The 16,306-nt window shown below is 46.9% G+C and overlaps 1 protein-coding gene and 1 long non-coding RNA gene across 6 annotated transcripts in view, besides 2 other annotated features; one reads left to right on the plus strand and one right to left on the minus strand.

Annotated features, from left to right (window-relative positions):
* Window positions 1,750-2,308: an enhancer, noted in NCBI's record as "OCT4-NANOG hESC enhancer chr20:19188093-19188651 (GRCh37/hg19 assembly coordinates)". NCBI's record gives its function as "activates a minimal SCP1, AML or CMV promoter by ChIP-STARR-seq in primed H9 embryonic stem cells {active_cell/tissue: H9 hESC(primed)}" and the evidence as "EXISTENCE:reporter gene assay evidence [ECO:0000049][PMID:30033119]".
* Window positions 1,820-6,769, minus strand: LOC101929547 (uncharacterized). 5 transcript variants are annotated; one of them, XR_007067548.1, is made up of 3 exons: window positions 5,930-6,769; window positions 4,365-4,521; window positions 1,820-4,270 (listed from the first exon to the last, which is right to left on the minus strand). It is a non-coding gene; the product is annotated as an uncharacterized LOC101929547 (long non-coding RNA). The 5 variants fall into 5 exon arrangements; XR_007067549.1 differs by having other exon boundaries at window positions 4,365-4,742; XR_007067550.1 differs by having other exon boundaries at window positions 5,799-6,414.
* A 173-nt stretch (window positions 6,770-6,942) lies between these two features.
* The window catches only part of SLC24A3 (solute carrier family 24 member 3), a 510,285-nt gene continuing 500,921 nt past the window's right edge, over window positions 6,943-16,306 (plus strand). The window contains exon 1 of the mRNA NM_020689.4: window positions 6,943-7,285. Coding sequence (NP_065740.2) covers window positions 7,144-7,285 — 142 coding nt within the window. The 5' untranslated portion in view covers window positions 6,943-7,143. The remainder of the gene's footprint in view (window positions 7,286-16,306) is intronic.
* Window positions 7,294-7,343: a silencer, noted in NCBI's record as "silent region_12705". NCBI's record gives its function as "represses an Ori minimal core promoter by ATAC-STARR-seq in GM12878 lymphoblastoid cells {active_cell/tissue: GM12878}" and the evidence as "EXISTENCE:reporter gene assay evidence [ECO:0000049][PMID:35858748]".

Genomic DNA, 16,306 nt, shown 5'->3' on the forward strand with positions numbered 1-16,306 from the left:
CCCAGGAGTCTACCTTTCTAACTAACTCCCAGGTCATGCCACCAACTCCTAGTGCCTGCTGGTCCAGGGACAACATTTGGAGTACCAAGAACTTAAATGATTGGAAAGAAAATGCTATGCATGAGTCCTGTCTATTTCTGGCATAAACTTTCAAAGAAAGGGACTTAATTTTTAAAAAGTGAAATATTTAAGTACCTAAAGGAACTCTTTGAGAAACTCTTGCCAGTGAAACAAACTCGGGAGACAGGAAGAGCTGCATGCGACACACCAGTCATCTTAATGTCACATGTCACCTGACTGGAAATGTGGAAAGAAATGAGGCTGTGAAGTCAAAGATTAAGCTGAACCAGTCAAGGGCAGGTAGGAAACACATCTCAGGCACACAGAAATCCCCCAGCAGGAGAATTACCGCTGCCACCAGGGGGCGCACCGCCACAGCGATCCTAGGAAGAGCATCTGGACCCAATCATTCTGCAGTTCTGGGGCTGGAAACCTGGGCGATGAACTGAGATGAGGAGATGGACACAGCACTGTATAACGTGAGACCATCCCATTAGCCTCAGGTCTCTCTGAGGATGACGACTTGGTGATGGGTCATGTGTTTACCACTCAAGTTTTTGCACTGGACAGCTGAGCTGGGCTTGAAGTGGATTCCGCAGTCAGATTTGAGGCCCTGGGCAAGAGGGGTTTGCTGTGATTATCCCCATCAGAATAACACAGGGCTGTCTAAAGTACAAAGAGCCAACTGACTTTGGCATCTCTCTCATCTGAATGTTTTGTATTTTCAAAATGCTTCATTGCCGCAAAGCACCCTTCTGTGGAAAGGTTGGCATCATCTTTTACCATTGAGGAAACTGAGGCACAGGGGAGGAATGGACTATACTTTAGATCTGTGGCCAAATCAGAATCAGAATTCCAGCTTCTTGCTCCAGCCGTAGCAGACCACCTGGCTGGGCTGCCTTTCCCCTGTCATCTCAGGGCTCCTCCGAATGAGCCTCGGGCACAGAGCTGCCAGCCATGGCAGGGAGGAGCAGCTCCTTGGAAGCCAGGCCTGGAGGCCCAGCCTAGCCTCATGCTCAACCCTGCCAAAGTCAAACCATTTCAATTCCTTTCATTTAAGTCAACTTGCCTTAACTGCTTACACATGAGCAGATTCTTTTAATTTTTCTTTATTTTTTTAATTAATAAAATTGGACATACTGATGGAAGAAAAATAATTTTAAAGCTATGGAAGAGTATAAAATAAAAAGTGAAAGTCCCTCTACATTCTCTGATCCCCAACCCCAAATCCTGTAATCCCACATCCCAAAGTAATCAGAGATAGAGAGAGAGAGATGATTTTGCTTAACTTTACAAAAATGGGATTATACAATTCATAGTGTAGCTTCTTTTTTTTTCCACTTAAGATGTACTGCATATCATGGTCTACCAGGATGAAGTTTTGAAATTTCAAAATGCTAAAACATTTTTTAGATCTATTGTCTTGATTTAAAATATAGGATACCTAAGCCTAATATTTGTATATTAACAAAAATAAGCCCTCAGGGCTCTCCCCAGGCTCCTCTGCCACACTCAGCACCTTGTCTGCCCAAGTTTACGAGGGCAAAATTAAATTAGTGGCATGTATGTGTTTTCTTTCTGAATGATCCTGACAGAATGAACAAATTCCTCAAATTGTGAATACTTAATGTTTGTCCTCTGTGGATTTAAAATTTTAATCTCTTTATTATTTATGTGGTTCTGAATTATTTCTTACAGGAGTCTTTAAGAAACATAGTACTCAAGTGAAAAATGAAATACATATAGACATAGCTACAGGTTGTGTTTTCATACTCTGTCTTTATTTCTTCCAAACACCCCAAACAAGTCAATTTAAAATATCAACAAATAGGTGCTGGGCGGTATATTTTTTGCTTTTTAGACTTGCCCTCCAGGATTTACCAAAAAATACATGCCAAGCTGTCCCTTTCTCTGAAACAGCAGGTCTCAAATCTTAATATGAAAGGATACCTGGGACCTTGTAAATAGGGCAGATTGTTGGGCTTCCTGAGTCCCACATCCTCAGGATAGGTTGGGAATGCACCTTACTAACAAGCTCCCACATACTTTTTCTGCCCAGCAGAAAGGAATTTGATTGACAGGATCCTCCATGAGTTTGTCATGGCCTGGGTGTGACTCTTTCCTGATGGAACCTATTCTACTTTCCTCTCATTTAGAGAAAAAGGAAATGGGTTGTACTGACTTTTGCCATTAAAAGCTGCCTCAAGGTCTAACGCACATTGCAGGAATTTTTCTGTGCTTGTCTTTGACAGCTTGGCCCCCTGAAGTTTCCCAGTGGACCTGTTGTCCTGCAGTTTCCCTTGGGCTCCTCCTTATGTAGTGTAGCTGGTTTGAGAAGCAGCTGATGACTGTTTCAATTTCAACTGAAGTTCCTTACAAAACTAGCCAATCTGGGAGGTCATTTGTCTCTGATCCAGATGTAGTGGTTTGATTATTCTTGGCTTATACTAAAGTTGGAAGGGAACTGAAGCATCAGGTGAAAACCACCTACACCTTCACAGTGTGAAAAAGAACAAATCACAGCTATGCACACCACAATGGACAGACATCACAAAAACGAAGATGGGCAAAAGGAGCCTCCCTTTATCTGAGGTTCAAGGACAGGCAACAATGATCTAGGGTACAGGGTTGGGAAGAGGCACTATCTCTGGGGAATTATTGCCTGGTGAGGGGCTGGCACAGGGAGACTTTCAGGGAGAGCAGGAAATGTTCCATGTCTTGGTCTGGAACCTGTGAGGATGTATACGTATATACAGAGTCATTGAGTTAATGCTTAAGCTGTGTGCGTTTTGCCTCATGTATGTTATACTTCAACACATTTTCTTTTTTTTTTTTTTTTCTTCTGAGACAGAGTCTCGCTCTGCCACCCAGGCTGGAGTGCAGTGTCGTGATCTCGGCTCACTGCAACCTCCACCTTCCGGGTTCAAGAGAGTCTCCTGCCTTAGCCTCCTGAGTAGCTGGGATTACAGGCATGCGCCACCCTGCCTGGCTAATTTTTGTATTTTTAGTAGAGACGGAGTTTCACCATGTTGGCCAGGTTGGCCTCGAACTTCTGACCTCAGATGATCCACCTGCTTCAGCCTCCTAAAGTGTTGGGATTACAGGCGTGAGCCACCGTGCCCAGCCAACAAATTTTTTTTAAAGGCAATTGTGAATCTGACCATGGTCAACTAGGAAAAAAAAATCTATAGTCATATTCATGTGGTGAGTTAAAAACCAAACAAATGCACACAGTTCAGCAAAAAGAATATTCAAAATTAAAAACTCTTATAAAATAAGCAGTCTATTTGAACTCCAGTCATAAACTGATCACCAAAAATAACGTGAGCCCACCTTGCAGACACAATGCTCTCAAAAGAGTAATTTTTTTTTTTTTGTCCTTCAAAATACAGCCGGCTCAGAAAGTGTCTGAAGAAGCAGTTTTCCTGGCTTTTTGATAAAGACGGTGGACAAGAATGGGCGTGAGAAGAAATAGTTGTTAGGTCTTCCTTAGTAAGGATGGGCTTTTGTCCAAGTCTATGTGACTGTGCAGGTGCAGGGGTTTTGTCTGGAGGTGATCAGTGCTATCAGTCTAATGTCTTCCTGGGCTACATTTGAGTGAGGCAATGACAGGAAGCCTGGCCCTTCAAGTCCTAGGCAAGAAGGGGATGCTGCATACAAGGCCTGTTCTAGGCATACTCCATGAATTTCTCCCTTTTATCCCCCATCTACTAACATTTGGTCTCACTGTGCTTAAAGGTTTTCCATGAACACCCAGGGGTCTTTCCCCTCTGAGCTTGGGCCAGGTCTCCTTGTGTTATGAAACAGCCATGGTGAGAAAGCTGATGTCTCTTTACCAAGAAAGTGCCTTTTCTGGTTTTCTCTTCCTCTCTCCTCCTCTCTTCTAAATCAATGGCTTGCCTGCCACACCTGGGAATGTTTGGTGTTGTGGAGACATAACCTTGCTTTGTCCTGGAAACTACTCCATGAGGTCTGTGAGCTGTGGTCAGCAGGAGGCTGGAGAGCTGGAAATATCACAGGAGGGCACCGAGCTGCACCTAGTTTGGCCACAGACGAGGTCCCTTTCACTGGCTGGTGGATGATCTGGCCTGGGCTGAGAGTTAGTGAATATAGTCACGGGAGGCTTTCTATTCTTTGTCCTAAAGGTAGAACTGTGAGAAAGACTAACCAACTTTATTCACCACATCAGGTCCAAAGTCTCTGCAGGGACCTGAAAACAGAATGTTTATGGAAGGTCAAAACAGGGGGAGTAGACAGTGACCCCAGAACCCAGCCCAAGGTGGGGAGGTGCTCTGTAAAGACACCTGTCTTATTCCTGAAAGGGTGAAGACCCCCACACATCTAGGAGTGATGCCTCTCTCTCCAGGAAAGAAATACTCTCAGACTGAAGTATCAGAGCACATTCTTCATTTCAACTCTTGCTCCTTTCACAGTTCGGTTTCTGGAGGGAGCTTCCAAAGACTGAAAGGGACAGGTAGGAAAAAAAATGACTGTTTTCTTTGGAGAGGAGCTCCTGAGGCCTGTCTCACTTGGCCATCACCTGGGGGGCTGAGGAACCTATCAGGTCTCAGTTGCTGTCAGCCTAGGGACCAGGATCCCCACCTTTCTTCCCTAGGTGGTGCCTGGCCGCCCAAGGAATCACTCTCTGTGCTTTACTTTAACAGTGCCCTTCACTCCAAAATCTGTCAAAATGAATAGAAACCCAAGAATCATTTCTGTGTGCCACAGGAGTGCTCTCCCCCGGCCCCCCCGCCCCACCCCGCCACACACACACACATACACTCCTGGTGCTGAGATAATTTCCAAGAAATTACCAGTTCCTGGTTATTCTCCTTCCTCCTGGCTCCCTTCCTAACTCCCCCTCCATCACCAGATTACACAATTCCTTGAGCCTATGGTATTTTCCCCTGGAGCTTGTGTTCATTTCCTAACTCAATTAATTCCAGATTCCCTCTCTCACCTTCTATTTTCCCTCGTTTTCACTAGAAAACACTATTTGAGTGACTTTCCTGGTTAGTTGAATTCTTCTCAGCTCCTAAACTTTCTTTTCTGTGTCTGCAAAAGCTTGATGGAGATAACACAACTAGAGAATTCTCCCCACACACTCCAGCACGGATGAACTCGTATTTTTACACCCTCCTTAGTATCTGCAGCCAAAGCAAAGGGAAAACCACTCAGGCATTGTGGGGGAGGTACTCTGAGTGTCTGGAAGATGCCAGGCTGAGAACAGCAGTCATAAATGATATACCCACAAAGGAAAAGTCTCTGGTCTCCCTGGGTGAGATGGCCTTTCTCTGGAAAGGAGGCCACCTATAACCACTTCCTTTGCCCTTTGCTGTGACCTTGCTGTCCCCGGGCGCTGTCAGGGATTGTCTGGGAGGAGGTCGGGGGGGGTAGGTCAGTCACAGGTGGGGACACATTTGAACAGACCTAGACAGGGGAGCCTTATACAGAGGTTCTCTGCTTCCTTCCCACCTCCTTAGGGTATGAAGCTAGATTCCCTGATCTGAATGGATTCCATGGAGACAGTCACCTAGACAGACACCTGGTTTCAGGTGATCCCTTTCTGGACAAGGTCTTTTGTTTTCAGCGCCCCCCCACCCTCCGCCCCAACAATGGCATCTCCTCCTCAGCCCAGCCAGCAGCCCCAGGCTAGCATCTGGGAAGAGTCCAGGGAAGCCCAATGAGGGAGAGTGGGCTGTGTCTGGGATGGCCAGGGATCCCCTCCAAATGGGCACCTGCGGCAGGTCGTGAGTCCAGCCATCTCTAGGGCAGCCCACACCTTCAGCAAGGAGGGGCAGGAGACCTAGAATGGGGGAAATGGGAGGACTAAGATTCTAACGTTGGAGGTAGGGCAGGCTGGTGTTACCTGCACAAGGCCAGAAGCCTCTTCAGGCCGCCTCTCCAGGGACCGTGCCAGCTGTCCCCACTTCGATCAGCCACAGTATTGGACTTGGTCCAGCACGAACAGAAAGCGAAGTGTGAGCCCAAGACAGAGGGGGGAGCCGGACACCCTTATGGAACTAACAGCCTCTGGGGAGGCCTGTTCCAGATCCCGAGTCGGGCGCACAGGGGGATCCCCGCAAGGGGGCAGAGGGAAACCCGGGAGGCCCGCGAGAAGAGGCGAGGCCAGAGGCTGGGCGCGGGCAGCCAAGCGCACTCGCGGCGCCCCGACTCCAGGTAGCACGTAGAGAGGAGGCTGAAGAGCCCCTCGGTTTTCCGAAAGTTTCCAGCGAATCCTTCTTGGTGAAGATCGGCCTCTGGGAGGCAGCGTGTGTGCTTCCCGAGAGGGGGCCCCCTGCGCCGTCCCTCTTCCCCTGGCACAGAAGGGTTGAAGGACTGCACACAGGGATCCCTCCCCAGCCCAGTCTCCTCCCAGCGCGCCCCCTCCCCGCCATGCCGGCCAGCGCCGGGCTGTGTCCCAGGCACTGCCCCCCGCCAACCCTGGCCCGACCAGCCTCGCCGCTGCAGGCTGCCGGGAGCTGCGCTAGCTCATGCTCCCAGCTCGCTCGGTGCTCCCTGTTCGCTCCGGCCCGGCCCCGGCCCCCATCGCGCCGACCATGGAATAGGCGGGCGGCCCCGCGAGGCGCTCCTGCAGCCGGCGAGGCCAGAGCCAGTCCGGGGTGGCTTTGCCAACCGGCGGAGTTGGCCAGCGGCGGGCCCTCCTACCGTCGGTCCTTCCCCGCTCCTCCTCCTCTGCCCCCTCCGCCCCCGCCTCCCGGCCGCCCCCGCCGCCCCCGCCGCGCCGCCGCCCCAGGCCGAGCGCGGGCGCGGAGCGTGGGAGCCATGGCGCGCGAGGAGGAGCGGGACCCCGAGCGCCGGGAGGCGGCGGCGCGGGCGAGCGGCGAGGAGGAGGAGGAGGGAGGGGAGGAGGGACTGGGCGATAGCGACGAGGAGGGCGACGACGAGGAGACGGGCAGCGGCGAGGAGGAGGAAGAGGAGGCGGAGGCGGCGGCCGGGTGGGAGCGCAGCGAGGACGCGCGGCTGCTGCGCGCAGGGCTGCCTCCTGCCGCTGTCCCCGCCGCGGCCGCCCGCGACAGGAGCGGCCGCCGCCCGCCGAGGCCGCCGCCCGGCCGCCCGAGGATGCGGCCGTCCGGCGACGAGGACCGCGCGCGTCGCCGCCGCCGCCGCCGCCGCCGGAGGGACCTTCTGCTGAGCCAGCTCTGCTTCCTGGCCTCGGTGGCGCTGCTGCTCTGGTCGCTGTCGAGCCTGCGAGAGCAGAAGGGTGAGTGCACGCTGCCTGCCCCGAGTGGGCGCTGCGGCTCCGGCGGCTCGGGGCTCCCGGGGCTGGGCGCGGGGCTCCTTCGGGCGGCCCGGCCGGAGCCCCAGGATAAGCGGGCTGGGTTGGCGGGGGGAGTGGGATGCCAGGCACGAGGACTCCCCCTGCCCCACGCAGAGGCATGGAGGTGGGGACCCTGAGCGCCAGCAGCCAGCAGGCTTAGGCGTCTGGCCGCCCTGGGAACATTTACCTGTGCCCGCCTGTGCGCTGCTTACTCGCGAGCTGGAGGTACTGCTGGTGGCGGTGGTGGGGAGTCTTACTCTCCATCAGCCCCCAAGGCCAGGGATAAAGTTGTGGTGGTAGACCCGGCACCTGTGCAGGTGACCACCTGTATACTCCTTGGCTTGCTGAAGGATTCAAGGGGACTGCTTAACACACAGTTGTCCGTATGTTCTCCATCCAGAGAGCAGGCGGGATGGCCCGAGTAGAGAGCTCTTCAACCCCCTTTCAGAACAGGTGCCGGGAACTTCAGGGAGAGAAAAAGTGTTGGCCCTCCAGCTATGGGCTAGTAGGGGACTTGTTCTCCTAAAATGACCACTCACTGGGAAGACAGGGAATTCTTCCTCAGAGGTCCCTTTTGCAGAGCTGCTGCTGTGGAAGAAATGGTTTGCAGTGGACCACGCATCACACTGTCCGCTCCTCTACCGGTGCTCTGCGCAAAGTCTGCCCTTTAACCCACAACTTTTGTCTTGTCTTTGTCCTTGGCCTTTCTTGAGCTGAAATAGATCTTGTGTGCTCCCAACAGTTGTCTGCTGAAACAGCTTCGATCCTGGGATTCAGCTGTCTATAAAATGAAGGAAAAACATGGGAGAATAACTGTTGTAAAATGGTTTTATATCCCGGCCGTGGAAGTGGCACGATTAGTGGGAAAACAGCCATGTAAAGGGTTGTGAGAAAGAAACAAAACAAAACAAAACAAACAAACAAAAAAACAGTTACAAGTATGTGCTGTGGTGTTGAGGTCGACGTAGCTCTAATGCAAGATGTCATGAGGTGCAGAATAAAGACATTTTGATAGTCACCGTAAAATATTTTCAAAGGTGCCATGAATTTAAAAAGGGATCTCCCCCAGCTTGGCTGGTCTCCTGCTTGGTGGGGAAGTGAAACAGGCGTCAGTCTTCATTCAGTCTTAGCAGACCGCTTGACAGACTTCATCATTTATGGTAATAGCAGAGAGTCCGTCTTGGTCTTCAGTGAAGCTGTTCAAGACTCCACGGCTCTCTCCATTGCTCTCCTGGATCTCAGATCCCGTAGCCTTGGGTTCTGACATCAGGAAGGGGGCCGTGCCGGTGTGAGGGAAGCAGAATCTCTCCCAGGGCAGATTCACATCTGCCAGACTTCTGTCTACTGACAGTCTCACTAAGGGGGTTTTCCCGAATCCCATTTTTATTTTCCTTTTTTATTTTTCTCCAGTGAAAAACCAGTTTATAGTTCATGCCACCTTTGGAAAGGGCTATTCCTAGTGGATTACACGCTGGCCATTTTTTTCTGGTATGTTGGGGCTCTATGAGACATAGAGTTCCCACCACTTTCAAGAATATAAAAGACATTTTTTTCTGGGTGAAGGATGTGACTCATATAGTTAAGTCAATCAGTGACAGGGGGCTGCCTGGGCCCTGAAAAGCTGGGATTTGGGAGGAGAGGAGGCCAGACACTCTGCAAACTTGAAACCTGGGGACTGGAATGTCATTTTGGAATGGTTTCCCTGGTAGTGACATTTCTATTCAGGTGCCACTGACTCAGATTTAGTTCCATAGCACGGCCTTTTCCGCATCCCTCCCTCTGTCCTACCTTTCTCCTTCCTACCTTTCATATTCTTTTTTCCTCTCACTTCCTCTTCCTCCCTTCTCATCTCTGTTGGTCTTAGGACCCCTCCACACCCCAGTAACTGAAGATCTAACAGGCAAAAGCCAAATGTTAAGGAGGATGCCAGCCAGCCTCCCTGTGTTGCCCCCGAATGACATATGAGTTGAAATGGTCTCCAATCACTTTTTTTTCCGTTAGGTATTGATGATTTTGGTATGTGATGCACAGTAGTATTTTGCAGCAAGACACAGGTTTTTCTAGATAATTTTTAACATATTAATTAATGTGTGTGAATCTGCAAATGATAATTTTGCAAGGGGAATTGTCGTTTGGCACACGTAAGCATTTGAATGGTGACTTTTACCCTGGAAACTTGGAGCACACACTACCTAGTGGTCCTTTGGTACAGATACTGAAGTTTGGAATGGAGCATTGTTTCGAAGACCTTGTGGTGTAGAGAGGCTGAGTGATTAGCTTAAAGTCACACAGCATTCGAAGAGTAGAGGAAAAAACCAACCTGAGGTAACCTGGTTTTTTGTTCCCTACTCTGTCCTCATATTCAAACCACCATTTGGGTGTAGCTTTGTAATATTTATATAATCTCATAGGGGGTACCTTCATAATGATCAAAGGTAATATTTTCATTTAGTCACCTTGAAAGCCATGCAGTGATTGTTAAATGTAACTTCTCAGAAGCTCGTTTTCTAACACATATTGACCTTTCCCTCCCTCCTTCCTTCTGTTGGCCCTTCCTCCCTCTCTCCTTCCTTCATTCTTTCTTCCTTCCTGCTCCCTTCCTTTCTCTCTTCTTTCCTCTTAAAATGACAGTTCTTTTACCAAAGCAAAATAGAGATGTGTGATAATTATATTATATGATGTTTCATAACATTTCTAATCATATGGAATCCAAGATCCCTTTCTAGACATCTAACGAAACTCAGATTTGGCTATGTACTGAAAAGTTTTGGTTATATACTGAAAACATTTTCCACATATTCAGTATTTGGTTATATGCAGTAAGAATCTACATTGATTCTTTTCTGCTGAGGTGTAACATGAGGTCTGCTTAATTTAGGTCAGGAAGAATTAGTGCTGGAATCAAGAAATTCTAACAACAAAAGCAATAATAATAACTGGAATTTTGGTGGGCTCTTATGTGCCAGGCAATGCGCTATTCCCACCTTATAGGTATTGCTTTATTTAATCTGCAGACACTCTTTTCGGAGGCATGAGCCTTCAGTGGTGGAAAGCAATGAGCTCTAGTTGCCCTATTTAGTTGTTATGGATGAAGATCTCATTTTTGATCTCTGTTTTCAAAGCCAATTAAAATAAGGTGTTAGATTTGCTGAGGAGGATTTTCTTTCCTTTTTGCAATGAGAATAGATTACTTTTGTGTATTTTGAGTGGTTTAAAAGTGTTATATTTTTCTTTGACATGAACTACCCAGCCATTTTTTTTCCAGAAGTAGTGTGGATAAAGCCCAGGGATTCTAACTGAGGAGTAATTCTAGACTTTCTCTCTAGAAGGTTCTCAGGGAGGTCAATAGTAATTAAGAAAAAATATACACCAGCCTAGGCAACATAGTAAGACCCCATCTCTTAAAAAATTTTTTTTAATTAGCTGGGTGTGGTGGTGCATTCCTGTAATCCCAGCTACTCAGAGTCTCAGGCAGCAGGATTGTTTGAGCCCAGAAGACTGAGGTTGCAGTGAGCCATCATTGTACCACTGTACCCCAGCCTGGGCAACAGAGTGAGACCCTGTCTCAAAAACAGAAAAAAAGGAAAAAAAGAAAAAAATTACACACACATGCATGTACATATACACACACATATGTACATATACCTATGTGCATGAATGTATGTATGTATTTATGTATATACTTTGAGCTACTTTCTATACTAGTTGCTATTGCTGCATAACAAGTCACCCCAAAAGTTAGTGGTGTAAAACAGCCACTTAATTTTTTTTGCTTATGGATACTTTGGGTCAGGAATTTGGATGGGGGTAATGGGGCTGGCTTGTCTCTGCTCCACTACATCTGGTACCTCAGCTGGAAAGATTGCAAAGCTGGGTGGCTTGACAGCTGCATCTGGAGTCATCTGAAGCAACACCTCTCCCATGCCTGGGGTCGATGTGGCTCTTCACTGGACCCTCAGAGCTGGGCTGCCAACCAGAACACCCACACGTGGCCTCTCCATGCGATCTCTTTATGTGGCTCACTTTGAACTCCCTGAGAGCATGACATCTGGGTCGCAAGGGCGGATATCCCAAAAGGACAAGGTGAAAGATGGCATGTTTATATCCTAGCCTCATAAGTCACAGTCACAGAATGTCATTTTCGCTATTTTCTGTTAGTCAAAGCAGCGTTAGATGTCAGCCCACGTTGAAGGAGAAGGGCATAGATACCAGCAGTCATTCAGTGGAGGAGTGTAGGGTCACATTATAAGAGCCTCTGCTGTGGGAGATACTGCTGTGTCTGCCTTTTTAAAAACCCAAGGATCTGAAGGGATCATAACTTGGTAGTGAATGTAGACATTTCCCAAGGTGGCTAAGGTGAATGCCACATATGCATACATACAAACATATATAGACAAACATACACACAGACGTATGTATGTATGCATATATTATCTTTGAAATATCTTCCATTCATGAAAATATTGCTGCTTATTTTAGCTGGTGTGGGGTCTAGAAGTGGTATTTGAAAAGGAGGTTGCAGTGGGTATTTGAACTGCAAATTTAAATTGCAGAGCTGAGAGCCCGTCTTTGCCTTTGTGGCTGCCGATTCCTCCTATGGCAAATGACCACAGCTGTTGAATCCTTCTTATGGCTCAGTGTGAGGACTGCTGGAATCTCCAGCTTTGTTTCCCTCTTCTATTTCCATGCATCCCCACTCTGGTTTTTCCTCTGCTCCTCAAAAGGTCTATGATTCTTCCGATCTCAGATTCCTGGCGCTTGCTGGTCCCACTGTCTGGACTGCTTTGTCCACCATGGCTAGTGAATTCCTCACTACCTGGCTCGAGATCTTCCTGAATAGACTGGGTCCCTCCATTTCTCTGAATACACCATATGTTCCCTTCATAGCATTTATCACAGTTGGTAATTATGTGTTTATTTGGTCATGATTTGGGTGATATCTCCTCTTCCCCAGATTCTAGGGTCCAGGAGGTCAGGGACCCTATGAACTTTCCGTACCTCTGTACCCCAGTCACTGGCCCCATAGTAGGAGCTCAGAAGATATATAAATATCTTAAATATAGAGGCAAATATAAAAGGTATTTGGTAAATAAAGACGCTCTTTTGATCGCTGAACTACAGTGCCTGTGATAAAAGTAGTCATCCTGTGTTAGGAGCCCATCAGCTGACATGGATTTTATTGTCATGATTTATTAGGTTGGCGCAAAACTAACTGCAGGTTTTGCCATTGATAATAGAATTCTGCTCTCAGTCCAGCAGATTCGATATCATTACCCATTTCTCATGGGATAGCACTGAGCTGAAGAAAGGTGGAGTGCAGTGCCTAGTGTCTGTTAAGTGGAGGGATTTGAACCCAAGTCCACCTACATCAGGGCTGCATGCTGCTGCGTTTTCCAGCCTCTGTGGAGGAGGACATGAATAGAAGACGGGGAATCACCCTGCCTTTTTCAGTTAACTGAGGAGTAAGGAGTAACAGAAGGTTGGTTTCATAGAAGCAGTATTTTAGAAACACATTGCTTTTCAACCTTTTCTATTTTTTGCATAAACATATATAGATATGTCTCTTTCCTCTTGGCTTTTCTTAGCTTCTCATCAACCCAGATTTTTCTCAAAGATTTCCTCCACTTGCAAGCCTCAAATCCTTGTGGGAAGCTTTTTTTTTTTTTCTTCACCCTGGAGGGTTGGTGAAGCTAAAAGAATTGCAAAACTAGATATTTGCTGAAAATTCCAAGGCCTGGTGGAAGATGGCTGATAGGACAAAATTTTGGCAATTTTCTTTTTCTGTATGGAGGTTTCTTTTCCTTGAGTGAAAGAACTTTTTGGAGGAATAATAGTACACAGACTTTCATAATGGGGAAACTGAGGTATGGGGTGGTTAGAAAATGTTCCCAAAGTTGCAAAGCAAATGGGTTATGCTGCCAGGAAGGTAATTTGGATTTTTTTTTTCTGGTCCATTTTTGCCTTCTTTTTCTATAGAGCTTGTTTGGCAATTATTTATATTTATTGTTTGCAATGGTTTCACAAATGGGATTATCCTGTAGCATTTGAGAATGTGAAGTATTAAGGACCCAAATGGAAGAAGGTTTTGTATGAACCAAGTGGTGATGGGCTTCAGGTTTCCTAGGATTCCCCCTGCTGTTCTCTTCCTGTTCCACTTCCAACCTGGAGAGGCAATGCTCCTTGCTGTTGCTAGTCCCGGACGGCCCACACTATCCCTTATTGGTTTCCCAGCCCTACTCTTACCCTTGTAGGCTGTTCCTTCATGAAGCTCTCTCAGTGGGATCCCTTGAGGGAGTTCCTGCCCGGACCCCAGTTGCGTAAGACACGGGGACCTTCACCCATTTGTTCATTCAACAAATGGCAGGCTCTTTGCTAGTTGCTAGGGTGGCAGCGTTGTCTTCGAGGGACACCGTGATGTTCATCCTCGTGGTGCTCAAGCTTGAGTGAGAAGAGAGGTGCTGAACAAGTAATTTTCATGAATTATGAGAGATCGGGATGAGAAATACAGCATGGCATGGAGGAGGCTGTGGTGGTCAGGAAAAGCTGGAACCTGAATAATAAAGGGAATAAGATTGAGGAAGAATGGAGGATACAAAGGCAAATGTAGAAAAATAGGCAAAAGATGCAGACAGGCAATTTACAAGAAAACAATTGCAGATGGCCAACAGACACAAATAACAAACTTAATCTCAGTTTTAACATGAAAATCAAATTAAAAATAATGAAATACCATTTCTCAATATCAGGTTGGTAGATTAAAGTAAATTAAAACATGGGCTCACATCAAGGGTTTGTACAGATTCTGGAGACACAGCTGTTCTGGTTCACTTCAGAGGAGGTTGTCAGATGGCACTCCAGACACTGCGGGGGACCATCATCAGGGGACCTGGTTATAGGAATAGACCCCAAATGAAGCCTTGGCCATTTAATGCAATTGACATGTAGAAAGGGAGGTGGGTGGATTAGAATGGCTATATGTAGATATTTGAGACTTGGGTAGAAACTCATCTTAGCTGGACCCATCCATGGACCATGGAGCATGTTGGTCATGACCTTTTCATGTTTAGTTGCTTAGGTGGGAGCTCCAGGAAACAAGGAAAGACCTGTGTCATTCCTGGAACTGTCTGAACCAATAAACATCACTTATTTAAATCATGAAATCTAGTAATCGTTTTTGGCTTGTCAATAGTGATTTATTTTTAGGAGAGAGTGAACAAATAAAGTCAGCTCATCTGTGACCTAATTTAGGGACTTTCACATTTGCAACTTTTACATTTGGAATATTTGCAACAAATATTTCTCTTCCTTTCTCCTTTGCATTTCTGCATTGTTTGATCTCAGCAAAAGTCATTTTCACTTTAGTCAGCCAGTCTGCCATGGAATTGAACCCACAGAGGACAGAGAAAGGAGCAGGTTTCTTGATTAGGACCTTGACAATAGAACAAAAGGGGTGGGATAAGGGATTGGTGACCTCAGGAAGTCGATAATGCCATGTTTAAGACAGAACATGAAACATTTATTTTTGAAGATTTGGACTTTTAGAGCATCTAGGTGGAATATAGAGCTGACATTTGAAAGTCAAGGTGATAAGCATTTGTGGCTGCAGATAAAGATGTTGGAATGGTATGCATGAGGGTAAACATTACATCTATGGTTAGCTCCGTGCTTCTCAGTCTTGTCTGCACATTGTAATCACTTTGGGAACTTTAATAATTACTCATATGTGAGTCCCACCTCCCAGAAATTCTATTGTCATGCTCCCAGTTGTGGCCTGGGCATTGGGATTTTATAAAAAAGTAATACAGTTGGTGCCAGTGTATCTCAGCAGCCAGAGCTAAGAACCAAAGGGTTAAAGGTTATTCTTTACCTTATCACAAGCACATTTTGCTGTTCGTCATTGAGGTACGAAATACACTGTACTTAAATTTCCTGTCCTGGATGTGAATATATGTGTTTTTCTGCTTCATTTTCTAAGCCTTCACCACTAATTTAAACTTAAACTTCTCTCCAGTTGCCTAGATTTCCTTTTCTTTTTAGAGACAGGATCTTGCTGTTGCCTAGGCTGGAGTGTAGTAGCATGAACATAGCTCACTGCAGCCTCAAACTCCTAGGCTCAAGCAATCCTCCTGCCTCAGCCTCCTGAGTTGCTGGGATTACAGGTGCGAGCCCTCACACCTGGCTCTTCCATCTCCTCTCAATATGTGCAGGGACACTAAGTATTCCAGCACGTCTTCTTTGGAGGAAGTCTTTACCAGATTCCTCTGGCCTGCTCTGATCTAGACAGGTCACTTGTAAAGTCTGCTGCCAGCTGTCATCTTCCCATTGCCCTTCAGCTTCATCCTGCATATTTCTTTTAACTTTCCCTTGGGATGAAAGCCCTGCTCCCTGGAACCCAGGTATGCGTCTTTCTTAGCTTATTCCTGAAATTTCAGTGTACATTTTTGAGGGTCACAGCCTCCAGGTGCCTCCTACAATAGGGAGTGTGGAAAGTAAAGATTCAAGACTGTATGTGCTTTAAAATATATTCCTTCTACCTCTACACTTAGAAGATAGTTAGACTGGGTCAAGAATTTAGGTTGAAACTCATTTGCCTTGGAATTCTGAAGGCATTGCTTGAATGTCTTCTAGCTTCCATTGTTGCCTCTGAGAAATCTGCTGCTGTCTTGGTTAATCATTTTCGAAGCCTGTATCCACCCCCCGCCTCACCCCAAGAGCATGTCTATTCTTTGCTTTGCTCCTAATGGTCTATTTTTTCCTAATCTTCAATCACGTCACAATTATATGACTGGCGTGGGTCTGTTTTCATTCATTTTCTTGGATCTTTCACCAGGTTCTCTTAAACTGGAAGCTTGTCTTCTTTAGGTCTGGAAACTTCCCTTTTATAATATTCTCCATCCTAAGTACTCCCTTTTCTCTTTCTGGATTGTCTATTATTTGGGTGTTTGACTTCCTGGATTGACCTTC

This window comes from Homo sapiens, chromosome 20, assembly GCF_000001405.40.
Source record: "Homo sapiens chromosome 20, GRCh38.p14 Primary Assembly".
NCBI classification, from domain to species: domain Eukaryota; kingdom Metazoa; phylum Chordata; class Mammalia; order Primates; family Hominidae; genus Homo; species Homo sapiens.